Genomic DNA, 15,106 nt, shown 5'->3' with positions numbered 1-15,106 from the left:
TAAAGAATTTTGGTCATGGGGTGACCCTAAAACGGCTCTGCAGGACTAAACTTAAATGAGACATAATCAGTGCAAAGCAACCAACGGCATGAAAGATGTTTGATTTCATTGTGGCATGCATGGTAAATAGTAACTGCCCCAAATCTTTTAAGTGACCATGAAAATGAAACTTTAAAAACAGAAATTACCACACCAAACTCCAATGAAAGATTCTTGGTATTCAGAATGACAAAATCATCCATGTATTAAATACAAATCATAAAGACATTAACATTTTGAAGTTTGTCACATTTTCTTACCTCCTTGAATATGAAACTCATATACATGAATATATATATGTATATATCAGAAAGACATGAGTGCTTTTAAAATTTGCTAAGCATTGAGATCTTTTTTATGACCCACTGCAAATTTAATTTTTAAGTGCTCTCTCAAATCCTTTTTGGAAATTGTTGCACCTTTTGTCAGATTATTTTTAATTCAATTGTTAGAGAATTTGGGTACCTGGTTTGTTTTTTTTTTTTTAATTAGTAAAAGCAAATTGGTTCAGAAATATAAAAGTACTGCTTTGTTTTCAGTAAGAGATTCAACACTACATTTAAAAGAGGGAATGAAAGGGCAATTAACAGAAGCTTCTTCAGCAACATCCAAAGCATATTGTGTATACAGAAGAGAAATGGATCCAGAAATAGACATTATGTGCACAGGACCAGAAGCGGGAAACACTGAGGAAAAATCCGCAGAGGAAGTAACAATGAGTCCCGCAATTGCCATCATGCAGCCAATACTGAGATTTCTTCAGTTACTGTGTGAGAATCACAACCGGGAATTGCAGGTATTTGTTCTGTTTTGTGTGAAAGCTGAGAATACAACCTATGTTTATCAGTAATTAAATTCAAATAAAACCAACAAGTAGTTTCGGAGAGCATTTTAGAAAGATAATCAATAAAAGCAATAGTGCTCCTCTGAAATGGGAAGAAACTTTGGTATCAGTGAAGAAAAGGAAGAAGAAAATCCTTTTATGCAAGAAAAAAAAATCAGGCTCATACAGTGTCATCCTCCTCAATATTTTTAGCCTCAAATATTTTTAGCCTCAGTGGGCATCCTGTCTTCCTAGTATTCTCTGGTAAGGTTATATTGTTGAGAGAGATCACATTTGTCTCATCTATATCTTTCATGATTTTATATTCTTAAGGGGCTTTCATTATTTTCAAGCCAATTCATATTTCTTGAGTGAGAGTACTGAGTATATTTGTATGTCTTCATTTGAAACAGAATTAACATAGAAGAGGATGTTTTTAACCAGAGTGAAGGTGGATACATTCAAAAATGAATGTAGTCAGTGTCATATCTTCTTTCCTGCATTTTCCTTTGTTAGATAAATGAACTTAGGATTGCCTATGAATTTCTGAATTTTGGCCTCTTTTTTGCATTGTTTGTACACAGGCAGGCCAAGGCCAGAAACATTGCTTCCAGAGGGACAATACTGGATCAGTGCCCATGGGCCTATCCTAACCCATTTCGTCTGGCAGTGTAGGAAATAGATGTATAGGGTGTATAATACATTAGATAGTATCTGATTGAACAGTTTACTGGTAGGAGTGTGGGATCAGTATAGAAAATACTACTTTTAAAGTTGTCTTAAGAAGAATAAATGGTAGATATAAATTCAAATAAACACGTTAAATAATAAATTAATAGAAATAAATACTAAATTAAAATATAAAACATGTTTCCTTCCCTGCTTACCCTTTTACTAGGTTTACTCCCCAGAGAAAACCACTGTTAACAGGTGATTAATCTAGAGAACTTGACTGAATATTGTCAGGGCCCAGGTTTTTTCTTCTAGAAATTTTTATGCATGCATAAGCATATCGAACTGTGCAGGTAAACATTTTTTAAAAATCATATTCTATGGTATTCCGGCCGGGCACAGTGGCTCACGCCTGTAATCCCAGCACTTTGGGAGGCCAAGATGGGCGGATCACAAGGCCAGGAGATCGAGACCATCCTGGCCAACCCAGTGAAACCCCGTCTCTACTAAAAAAAAATACAAAAAATTAGCTGGGCGTGGTGGCTGGCACCTGTAGTCCCAGCTACTCCGGAGGCTGAGGCAGGAGAATGGCGTGAACCCGGGAGGCGGAGCTTGCAGTGAGCGGAGATGATGCCACTGCACTCCAGCCTGGGTGATAGAGTGAGACTCTGTCTCGAGAAAAAAAAAATCGTATTTTATGGTATTCCTCAACTTACATTTTTCATTTAGTAATTTCGGTTATTAGTCAATTACTTATTGCCAGGTTATGTTTATTGGTACATGTTGAAGTACCTAATTTTTATAGTTTTACAGTATTCTAATGTTTGGATGTACTATTATTCATTAAGCCAGTCACATTACCATACATATGATATGGTTTCTGGTGTTCGTATAACAAGCAGTATGCAGAGAACCTGTTGGTGTACTTATGTACATATATCTAGAAAAACTTTTTTAGAAGTGGAGCTGTATGTTAACTTAAAATATTGATAGATACTTCCAGTTGCCCTTCATAATGATTATATCATTTATAATTAATGAACAATGAAGTTGCACTGTTCATATGAGATTATTTATAATTGAAAATTTGCTTCTCTCCCTAATGAACTTCTTTCTACCTAGTTTTTTTTTCTCTTTTTCCGACTTCCCATTACTCTTTCCCTCTCTGTGTAGTTTGATGATAATGACACTGAGAAATGTTTATTATGAACTATCTTGATATATATATACACATATATGTATATATACATATATACATATATACACACATATACACACATATATATGTACATGTATACATATATATGTGTGTGTGTATATATATATATAGATGCTTGGGGAAAAACCTAAGGGCGTTTCTCCCTCCTTAAGTGGAGGACAGTTTTAATAAATGCGAATACTTTTCTTACAAAGAAAAGTTAGAAAAGCACACATATGGGAAGAACAGCAAACAATCAGCACAGTGAATTTTTGTAACCCTTCAATTTTATTTTCTTTTGCCTTCAGAACTTCTTGAGGAATCAAAACAACAAAACAAATTACAACCTAGTCTGTGAGACCCTTCAGTTTCTGGACTGCATTTGTGGAAGTACAACCGGTGGCCTGGGCCTGTTGGGTCTCTACATCAATGAGAAGAATGTAGCGCTGGTCAACCAGAACCTGGAGAGCTTGACTGAGTATTGCCAGGGCCCTTGCCATGAAAATCAGGTAACCAGAAGTATCCATGACTAATTAGTAAAGGGATTAATTTGGGGAAGGAGCCAATCTTTGTGTGCACTTGAAAGATCTTTCTTCTTGCTTTGCCAGACATTTTTACTTTCCTAATAAAACATACAAAGACTGAATTATAGACAAGGAAATACTATGCTGTATTTGTAGATAATTTCATTGTAAAAACAAGTCCCATGAAAATGTTCAAGATAAAAATCAACTTACTGAAAAAAGTGAAATATGTGTCATGACCACCACCCAGTTTTCATCTTTAGTGAACTTTTCCAGGATTTGTGGAATAAACTTTCTTTGGCTCCTTTGGCATCCCTACAAGGAGTAGTATATGTTATTTCTTTTATATGCACAATAAACTTATGAATAGGTATCATTATTTCTAGTTTGCTGATGAATAGGTTCTAACCCAAAGATTAAGTGACTTTCCAGAGTTTCAGAGTGACAGAATCAATAAGTTGTAGAGCCATTCTTACAACTAAGGACTTTTGATTCTGAGTCTAAATCGAGTGCTCTTTTGACTATATTACATTTTGGAGGGCACAGTTTCAAGTCTCTTTTCCAGAATGTTTGTCTCTGATTTTGTTTTCTGGGATATCAAGGATATATTGTGGGAGTAGAAGGCAGGACACTTGGGTCAATCAAGGTAAGGGATGCCACCTGAAAGTTTGCCAGTTGACTGTTTCACCTCCTCTCAGGCATCATGGAGCTACCATCGTAAGCATGGATCAGTCCAGAAGACAGAGTTTTCAAGTCATAAACATTTCTGGATATAAATATTAAAAAAGTCATTGAGAGCAAACATCAACGATTGACATAGAAAATTGTGAAAAAGAAATTTGCTTTTTTAAACATTGCAGTTTACATGAGATACGCACACATACACACGGTGTCTATGCACACACACATACATTTATGAATCTATACACACATGTGTACATGCATAGGTGTGTACAATGAAAACAGGACAGTTTTGGCATAAACAATTTGTTATGGGGGTATTTTCCCTTTCTGTACTGTACATATGAAATACCGAAAGAGTTTGTGGATTTTTCCCTGCATTTTTCTGGGTTATATTTCAGTCTCCCAGAGCAATGATACAAGAAAACCTAAATGTTGATTTAAAGTTAAGGAAAAACATACAAATTCAGAGATTTGGTTTTGTTGTTGATAAAAACTTGTACATCTATAATAGAAAATAATTATACCATTTGTCTCTTCTGCTGTTTCCAGGAAAGCTTGTAAGAATGTTCCCCAGTTTTGGTCTCATAAGAGAATGGAATAGAGCTTTGAAAGTAATTTACTAAAACCAAATAAGTTCTAAAAGTAAAAGCTAATTTTCAAATAACATGAACCCCACATATAATTCCCCATTGCTCTGAAAATGTGTGGGAGGAAAGATTGCTGGCAAATTCTGGAGATGATCTGCAAAAAGATTCTCTTTAAGTTTGGGAAATATTTTAATGAGCAGAAGAACCTCAGGACAGGTAGGAGATGGGTAGAAAACACCTTTCCTCTGTGTCAGAGGAATAAAAACTCCGTTGTATGAAGGGAGAAATAAGGCCCATGCTGAAAAAGCAGTCATTTTGAAGTTGTCTTGATTTTGGTCTTTCTCATTTAACTCACCAGGATTTCAGTTTTTCATACCTCTTGACAAGGTGCTACATTGTTAACACATAGTCCTACAAATCTGGCTCGCAAGTTCCTGATTTAAGACCTGTAAAATTAAATTCAGAACCCCAGCATGGTCGATCTTAACCTTCAAAATGTGGATATTTATCTCACAGGATGTTTCATAAATTTTCCCCAATCAAGATTCCCTCATGTAAGTTTAAGAAATCCAGTAAATTTTTCCTTCAGCCATCATTATTGACAGCATGTCCCCAAACATCAGGAGAGTCTCATATTACTTGTCTTCACTTCCACCTGGCTTGGACAGCAGCATCTCTTGTCATCAGTTTAGCATTAAGTAGCAACGAAATTAAAATGCTTCATTGGTACCATAAAATTTGCCTACAAATCTCAGGTATGAGGGACACATGTCTTTCATAAATGGGAAAATTCTTTTATTGAGGATAATTCAGATCTTAAAATTCTGACCTTAAAGATCTCCTCTGTTGATTGGTATATTAAAGTTTATTGAATGGAAGGATATTTAACTTAACCAGTATTCTCTGAAATTCTATAAACACAGTTCATTTTAAAAGATACGTGCTTCATGCAGTGTCTCGCTCAGTGTTCTGCATACAAAACCATTTGATCAATACTAATCAATTAATTGCCAGACCCTATACAAAAGAATAAGTCAAATGCTCAAAGGTAAATCTTACCTATTTTTTAAAGGTCAAAAATTAAGGTGATTATGTTGTTTTATATCCTGTTAGTTCTAGTGCTATTCTGTTGTGAATAAAATGATATTTTACAAATATTTTGTTTTCTAGACCTGTATCGCTACACATGAGTCTAATGGGATTGATATCATCATTGCTTTGATTCTGAATGACATAAACCCTCTTGGTAAATACCGAATGGACCTGGTGCTCCAGCTAAAGGTAGAGCGATTCCACTGTTCAGGCCAGAAAAGCTACAGTCTCTATAGTACAATCTTCAAGCAGCTCTTGTCAAAAGCATATTATCATGTTTTCAACTAATCAATTGACAGAAAGGGATAGTGAAAGTACAATGCTTACTAAACTCCAGATGCAATGTGAAGTTAGCTTTGAGGTAATATTCCATGGCAAGGTCCTTTCCTGGAAGTTTTCCAAGCAGCCACTGTGTTTCATGACTTCCCTTTTGTTTTTATTTTTATTTTATTTTTTATTTTATTTTTAACTTTACTTTTTGAGATGAAGTCTAGCTCTGCCGCCCAAGCTGGAGTGCAGTGGCACGATCTCGGCTCACTGCAACCTCCTCCTCCCAGGTTCAAGTGATTCTCCTGCCTCAGCCTCCTGAGTAGCTGGGATTACAGGCGCCCGCCACCATGCCTGGCTAATTTTTGTATTTTTAGTAGAGACGGGGTTTCACTGTGTTGGCCAGGCTGGTCTGGAACTCCTGACCTCGTGATCTGCCCACCTCGGCCTCCCAAAGTGCTGGGATTACAAGTGTGAGCCATCGTGCCCGGCTTTGTTTTTAATTTTATATTTTTCATTATAGGGAGAAGCAAAAGGTGCTGATGTATTTTTAAAACACATTGACTACAGAATTCCACCCAGAAAGACACAAGGAATTAGACAAAGTCAAAGGAGTGCTGCATTTTATTTTTATGGTTCTCTTCTTTCTAAAAGTTGTTCTCTTTTACATTAAAATTTAGTTTTTCCCCAAAATACTTTCAGTGATATCCACACTGTCTTTAAGAGGTTTCTTTAGTTTAAGCCTTGTGCACAGCTCCCAGCAGTTTCATTTATAAGAGCTCAGGAGCAGAAATTAATATACACACTAAATTATATAAAGCCCAAATACTAAGGCATGATATTCAATTGAGATGAGCTAGTAAAGACCACATTATTGTGTTTAGGGTTAAACAGGAAAAAATAATTCTTGCTTAAATTACAATTTATCTGTGAAGCCCTGTCTATCCAAGACTATTAAGAATGTATAATTAAATTTAACTTTGTATGGGTAAATTTATAGCCAAGAAGAATAGGAATGATATTTTTCTAATCCTGTTTCTAAATTTAGGTTTGGGTAGTACAATGGAAAGTACATATGTTTACGTGAAGATTGTGCTAAAGGCTCTTAGTAAGCATGTGCTTCTTTATCTTTATTTTATTTTTTTGAGTCAGGGTCTCACTATGTTGCCCAGGCTGATATTGAACTCCTGGGCCCATGTGATCCTCCAGCATCTGCCTCCTGATAAGCTGGGATTACAGGTGCATGCCACCACACCCAGCTTAAATGCTTTTTTAATAGAAGAGATTAGTTTGTATTTTTTCATGTTTTCAGTTGTAATGTGTATAAGCTTCTGCTCTTTCTATTCATAGATTAGCAAAGACGATTCTTACATAGATGTACTTGTGCCCCTCGATTCATTACCATCATGTTTCAGTTAATGAAACCAGCCTAGGCCTGTAAGATAGTCAGCTTAAATTCAAGTTATTAGAAAAATTTTTGTTGTTTTATCTTAAATTCATATTTAACCATAATTCATTAAGAAACAACATAGAGAGGTCTTGATCTTTGGCTTTTAAAATCCTTCATTAGTCTAAAGACTATACCTTTAAATTTCATTTGTAATTAATTAAACTTAATGGACAGAAATACTGAATGGCTCATCCATTTAAAATAAAGTATAAGCATATAGATTATTTACAAATCAAAGCCTATGTAAAAAAATTAAGTGAGAGGGCATCACTTAACAGCACAAAGATATTATTAACTATTCAAATGAAAATGCTTTTTAAAAAATATATATTATTTAAATTTTTATTGATTTTAGTATGTACAATTGCTACCTTTTAAAAATATGACAGTTGAATAAGTCAAAATACCAAATATAGATTTGGCTTGAAATATTTAAAGTATAGTTTTTTTTTTTTTTTCTTAGTGAATGAGGTGTGTGTAGTTTTCTAAACAATCTTTGAGGGTTTGTACACATTGGCCAATATAAGAACAATGTTTGTAAGACAGAATAATATATATTAGTAAATTTAAGGGACTTCCTTGCATAGGGTACTTTAAATAATAAATTATCTTTAACATTAAAAAGATACCATATTAAAAATTATTAAGGTTTTATTTTATGTCATTCATTCCTGAATTTAATTGCTTAATCATCCCTAATTTTAAGTATACTTAGCTTTATGTACTCATTTAGTATGAGATTCTATTACTTTTTCATATTTGTTGTCCTTTACTTTTTATTTTCATTTGCAAAACTGAGCTGTAAATATGAAGTGCTTCATTTGTAAATAGGTAAAGATTTGTTTTGTTTTGTTTTTTCAAAGAATCTGGCTTCTTTAAGAAGAAACTCCTGCACTAACACTGATATTTCATTTGATTTTGTGGTATATATAGACTCTTATACTATCAATTCAATTCATATTTCATTAGGCCGTTTATAAGATTTCTATTCTTCTGACATAATATAGAAAAGAAGATTGGCTAGAAAAAATACCATATTGCCAATAGCGTTCTGAAATTGGATGTATTTTTAAGCTATCATGTATTGGGCCTGCTGAGGGTAGGTTCATTAGATAGCACTGTCAGTGTTGCCAAGGTTTTAGCTTTGAATTCCATGGAGGTCTGTTCAGATTACTCCTAGGATTTAAGCTCTCCACTAATCCTAGAACCTTACTCTTTTAGGTATGTTATTTATGTGGGATACTAGATTGTCGAAGTGGATTTTAGGATTGGTTCAAGTCCGCAAAAAAATGAAAATGGAGCAGAAAAAGATAATACTCCCTTTCCTCCAAAATACTGACGTCTTTTCATAATGAGTCAGTGACATTAGTGTCAATCATCATCTTCATCATCGTCACTATTATTGGTCACTTAAGATGATCTTTAGGCTGTACTTCTGGGGGGAAAATAGTTGGATAGAATTTGATGTTAAAACTACCCAGGAGAATTAATTTGCACAACCTTAACAAAATTTGCATGGTCATTATTTGTTTAGACCAAACACAATTCAGTTTAATTTTCATTCTATGATATGTTAACTTTGAGTCACTTAGAAGCATCTTAAAGCCATGTTAACTCCAATTCTTTTGTACTTCTATCAAAGATTGTGTGTGGAGGTTAAGATTTTTATCTAAATGAATATTATGAGCACACTGTAGAAATAAATCCTGGATATTTAATTTCATATTGCAATTTGCCAAAATTCTATGCCAGCACTGTTAAAAACACAGCATGAAGTAACATCTTTCAAAATGTTTAGGATATTGTGCTTTCTTGGCTAAGATTTTCTGTAACTCTGAGTATCTATTTTGGATTATAAATTGTATCAGAAATATTTTTGATATCTGTATGTAGAAATGGTTGAGATAATATACTTATAAAACAAATTAGAACACTTCAAAGACAACATAAGCTATTTTCATTCTTTGTTAAGCAAAAATAGAAGATATTCTTTCACAACCCAAAGGTAAACAAAGTTGCATATCGCCTGCCATATAGTGAGACTAGGAAGCCGTTATCAATAAGTTTATATTATATTTCTAACACATGGAATTTGTAATTTTATAGATTAATTCTAATTATTGCTTAAATTTATTTTAGGTTTCGATTTGCTAATATATATTAATATTTCATTTTAACAATTGTGCTAAATTCTTTAAATTGTATACCATTTCTGTAAAATATGTTACTGATACCTGTTCACCTTTTTTTTTATTAAAACATCATTATGAAATGCCTATTTAGGAAACAGTGAGGGAAAATATGATTATATTTTAGTGTGGTATATAGTAAGTCACTTTTGCATTTGAAGTACCTTTTCACCAATATTTAAAATATCTCTTGTAACATAGCTCTCATGATTCATTAGTTATATTTTGTGTTGACAATGGAGTAAGATGTTCTATTTTAGAATGTTAACAAGACAAATGAAATTAGCAGTTTTAAATTCCGTTTGATTAAAAAAGGTCCTAGTAATCTCAATTAAAACAAATGCAGAGAAATCGTTAATCCATGAAATAGACTTTGCATGCACATTAACTCAATCTGTGTCTCTAGAACAATGCATCTAAACTTTTGCTGGCCATTATGGAAAGCAGACATGACAGTGAGAATGCAGAAAGAATTCTTTTTAACATGAGACCCAGAGAACTGGTAAGAAAACTTTTAAAAGCTTGGTCAATATTGGGTAGCCTAAAAGGAAAAAATTTAGAGAATGCATGTCAGAAAAAAAAGTTGATTGATTTTCATTGCTCTACCAAGACAAATGGAACATCATGACCTACCATTACCAATACCTCAGAAGGCCCTGTGGTGACAAAGGCCTGTGTGATTTGGGCCTTATGACTTCAGTAGTTTTATCCACTCTAAGCACTTTTCTTAGCCAACTTATCACACTATACTAAACTATATGCAAATGTGTATTGCCAGAAAAAAGTTGGCTTTGGTTTAATGGTGTATTGGAGCATATGAGGAAGGGATGTAAAAAAAATGTTTGTACTCTTCAAAAATTTTATTTATACTTCTTTCTGAAAAATAAAAATAAAATTAATATTTTTTGTAGCTGTTCTTCTCAGTGATATGTTGTACAATGCTTGGCCTCAAGGAAACTGTGCATACTCTAGTAGAGATTCCACAGAGATCATTAGTGTGTCTTCCTATTGTAGAAGTTATCTTTTCTTTCTCACTCGTGGCATGCACATTATGAAATAATGCAGGTGTATTTTAAAAGCATTGGGTTCCAAAAGCATTGAGAATGTACTCACATAATATAGCTCAGTGCCCTGATGATTAAGCCCCACTCACATCAGGGCCATTGTTGGTGCTATGGGCAACTCCTACGAAAGTCTGGCACAACATTCTTTTGCTCTCACTTTATTAGTAAAGAATGGAGTTGAGGAGGGCAGACAAAAAGAGAGACAAAGTGAAGTTTGATTTAATATATATTTAATGAGAGCATAATGTCTATCTGCAAACAGTGAGTTACAAGGACCAACACATTTCCTATCCTATGGTTAAATGTGGCAGTGAATCATATATTTATTCAACAATGGCACTGTGCAATAGCCCTTTGAAAATACTAGTTCCTCTGTGAACAACACCTTTATTCTGTCATCCCCTTCCTCCTTGTGGCCCACCCTCCACCTCTTGCTTGAGTATATGCCCCTGCTCTGCGCTTCCTCAGAAACATACATAGCCCTGGATTAGGACCGATGGCACCGCACTGTGTTTGCCTCCTTGCTTGCTGACTCTCCCACTGGAGAGTAAGTTCCATGAGGGTACTCTCTCCCATCCACTGTTGGGGTCCTCACTTCCCAGGGCAATTTCTAGCACCATGTCTGCCTGTTACTTAGTGGGCACTTAGTAAATAATGGATGTTTATTGGGGTTCTCGATTCTCCTAATTCATGGGAACTTCGGCACTATCAACATTCAAATATCAAACAAAAATTTCCAAGGAAAAGGGGAATATTGTAGGAAGATACTTCCATGTTCATTGAAATAAGGATGGTTTCCAAGGCCATTTTCATTTAGAGTCCTTTTATACTTTTGAGGCTTATGAAGCTGCCCAATTTTTAATTAAATCTCATAAAAATATAAAGCAGATGTTGTTTCTGGCATTTCAATATTCTTTTTTTTTTTGGATAGGTGGATGTGATGAAGAATGCCTATAACCAAGGATTGGAATGTGACCATGGGGATGATGAGGGTGGAGATGATGGTGTTTCTCCAAAAGATGTTGGACACAATATCTATATTCTGGCCCATCAGGTGTCACATTTTATATCTTTACATTATTTTGCTCATCCTATCAATCGTGTTTTGTATCCATGGCTTGTCATATTTTCAAGTTCTGGTCCCTTCATTTATTCAGCACTTACCATCCTAGGTTTGGGCTAAAGAGAGGAACAGCCTCCCAGAATGCCTGACTATGCACCCCAAGGTATGCTAAGGGACAGTCTTCAGGAAAAGAGTGCTTGGTACCCAAAACTACTGGACCAGAAGGGAGGAGACATTCCCATGTCAGCCTGAGCCATGGATAAACCATGGCAAAAAATGAGGGTCCTGAAGGAGAGGGGAAGAGAGGCTACTGGGGAGACAGAGTGTGAAGTGAGGGGGTGCATTCAGTCCTAATCAGGACAAATTCGGCAGGTAGTTTCTGGCCTCCTTGAATTGTAGGTTGACATGCTTTCTGTAGAAGCCATAAACTGGCAGCCTCTGATTGGAAGTGTGAGGCTAAACTTTAAATTCTTTTTTTTTTTTTTTTTTTTTTGAGACGGAGTCTCGCTCTGTCGCCCAGGCTGGAGTGCAGTGGCGGGATCTCGGCTCACTGCAAGCTCCGCCTCCCGGGTTCACGCCATTCTCCTGCCTCAGCCTCCCAAGTAGCTGGGACTACAGGCGCCCGCCACTACGCCCGGCTAATTTTTTTGTATTTTTAGTAGAGACGGGGTTTCACCGCTTTAGCCGGGATGGTCTCGATCTCCTGACCTCGTGATCCGCCCGCCTCGGCCTCCCAAAGTGCTGGGATTACAGGCGTGAGCCACCGCGCCCGGCCTTTAAATTCTTTTGAAGGAACTGTTTCCATTTTATAACTTAAACAGGTGCCTGATGAGTACTATTCATAAATTTAATACAATTAACATGAAGATCAACTTTAAATTGGCATCTTTGAATGCAAATTTGTTTAGAAGTTAAACATTTTAAATGTGCATTTGCCAATTTGATTTTGTCTATGATAGCTCCTTTGTTTTTACAAAATGAAGTTCAAACTTTAGAGACTTGCTCTATCTTTCTTTCTCATCATTTTCTCCCATTGGCAATCATTCCCTTCTGTTTCCCTGTACGTTTTATCAGTTGATTGAATAAACATTGATAGATATAAAGTCAGATTCTCGGAAGATTTATTTTTAAGGTTGCTCTTTAGACATTTCTTATGCCCTTTTCTACCCTTTGTATAACTGTCTAATATATGTGAACTTGACTATAATTTTTCCAAAACCTTCCAGGAAGGAGTCAGATTCTAAAAGATACTAACAAAAGACACCACTATTGTTTTATAATATATCTGGCTCATTGAAAATATTTTAAGGTCTCTCATAATGTATCAAAATACCTATGTAGAACAGAAAGAGGTAAGGGCAGATGACTTATAGCTAGACAGATGAGCATTTTAGCTGCTGAGCAACTGAAAGCCAGGATGATGGACAAGTGGAAGGAAGCAGAAAGTGGAGATTTAGGATGTGGAAAAGGTGTCGTTTTAGAGAGAAAGAGAAGCCATGTGACACAAAGTGAGTCAAGCTAGCAAAGGAATGGCTAGAGATTGAATGTGAGTAGAAAGGAAAAAATCCCAGGCTGAGAATTAAAATCATATTGGCTACTAGAATGAACACAGAAACATGCTGACCCATATGTGTACAGGGTCAAGGAGTTACTTTAGAGGCTGTAGCACTGTGGAGGGAAGAAGGCAAGGAAGACAAGCAAGGTCAAAAAGGCAAGGTCAAAATGAGCAGTAATAAGTTTCAGAAGAAGAAAGTAGGGAAGTAGAACCACTTCTGTTTTCTTGACTGCAAGATAGTCTTGCTTTGTATGGGGGAGGTTGTCTTCTTGCACGAGTGAGCAGCTGCATGAGTAAAACCTGACTGTGTAGCTGTTGAGTGGGGAATGAACAACCAGATGAGCTAAGCTTGCCCTGGAGCCAGCAGAGTGACAGATTGGCCAGCAGACAATGAATGAACCACCTGACATCCATTAAGAAATTTAATAAAGCAGTCTCAGATGACCAGTGTCTTAGGGGTAACAGTGAAAATATCAAGGTAAAGAAAAGACTTATGTTAGGTAACTTCAGTTTGAAGCAGACTAAGCATAAAAGTAGAGGATACAGGCCAGGTGCAATGGCTCACGCCTGTAATCCCAAGACTTTGGGAGGCTGAGGTGGGTGGATCACTTGAAGTCAGGAGTTCAAGAGCAGCCTGGCTAACATGGTGAAACCTCATCTGTACTAAAAATACAAAAATTAGTTGGGTGTGGTGGTGCATGACTGTAATCCAAGCTGCTTAGGAGGCTGAGGCACGAGAATCACTTGAACCTGGAAGGTGGAGGTTGCAGTGAGCCTAGATCACTCCACTGCACTCCATCCTGGGCGATAGAGCAAGACTCTGTCTCAAAACGAACAAACAAACAAACAAAAAACAAAAAAAAACAGAGTACAGAATACAAATTTTTAAAAAGACGATGATACATGTTGAGAAGAATGGACAAAGAGGGTAAAGAATGCAAGCAGTGCTCAGAGATGGAAAGATGATAGAAAACATAAAGCAACCTATATATGAAATAAATTCAAAATGAAGATGGCATAAAGGCCAATTATTTTAATGAATTTGAGTTTATTACAGCGCTTGAAGAGGAGAATAGACATATGCAAAGATGATGGTGGAATTGCCCAAAAAGTGGAAATTTAGAAGTAGTAAAAAAAATGTTACAAGGCGTTAAAACAACTTGTTGAAAGGAAGATAAATCAATGATATCAATGATGTGAAAATGATTGGGGTGGATATATCGAAGTTGTTTTTTTTTTTAAACTTCCCAGAAGCAAAATGTTGGAAAAGCAATGATTTGTAGAGCAACGAAGGTCCAATATAGAAGTAGAGAAACAAAGGCAGACTCGAGAAGAGAGAGAACAAACATCAAAACAAAAGAAAGTAAAGAGAAAAGGAGATTCTGAATTGCTGAATACTTTAAGCCTCATGATTACACTGTAAGAGATTAAATATTAAATAAGAGTCCTCATGAGTCCCTCTTAGAACCCAAAGAGGGCATAGGTATGGAAGAAAAGTAGGCCAGTTGTATGTAACTGACAGTGTAGAGTTAAGCAATTGTCCGCTTATTCTATTATAGTGACACAAGGAGTCATTTCCTTGCCACCATATAAATGTATTCTTTATGGGGTAACCCCGTCACCAGTTTTTCATGAAAAATTATGAGCTTTCACTCACAGAAGAGAGACCATTGTGCTCTGCTGATCTTTCTGCAGGTGACTCCTTGGCTTTCTCTAGGCTAGGATGTCATATTTGGTTTCTTAGCAGGCCAATCCCTAAGATTGTTTCCAAGTTCCTCATGAATCTATTGTCCTCCACAAACTCACAAGGAGTGGTTGCTTGTAAGCACTGCTTCAGAAGTGGCCATGTGGCTGTGCTATAGGAATTTGGTAGAGTCCAGTTTCCACTGTTTTCATTGT

General features: G+C 35.9%; 1 protein-coding gene across 7 annotated transcripts in view; it reads left to right on the top strand.

Annotated features, from left to right (window-relative positions):
• The window catches only part of ITPR2 (inositol 1,4,5-trisphosphate receptor type 2), a 497,843-nt gene that overhangs the window by 346,256 nt on the left and 136,481 nt on the right, over positions 1-15,106 (top strand). For 5 of the 7 annotated variants that reach the window (XR_001748686.3, NM_001414174.1, NM_002223.4 and 2 more), the window contains 5 exons: positions 579-835; positions 3,041-3,241; positions 5,698-5,808; positions 9,932-10,027; positions 11,521-11,643. Coding sequence is in view for 5 of the 7 variants with exons in the window: in NM_001414174.1 (NP_001401103.1) it covers positions 579-835; positions 3,041-3,241; positions 5,698-5,808; positions 9,932-10,027; positions 11,521-11,643 (788 nt within the window). In the remaining 2 variants the exon portion in view is untranslated. Of the gene's footprint in view, positions 1-5; positions 123-578; positions 836-3,040; positions 3,242-5,697; positions 5,809-9,931; positions 10,028-11,520; positions 11,644-15,106 lie in introns of those variants that run through there. The other 2 variants (NM_001414175.1, XR_001748687.2) reach the window with 2 other exon arrangements.

This window comes from Homo sapiens, chromosome 12 (assembly GCF_000001405.40).
Source record: "Homo sapiens chromosome 12, GRCh38.p14 Primary Assembly".
NCBI classification, from domain to species: domain Eukaryota; kingdom Metazoa; phylum Chordata; class Mammalia; order Primates; family Hominidae; genus Homo; species Homo sapiens.
This window is presented reverse-complemented; position numbering and strand designations above follow the sequence as displayed.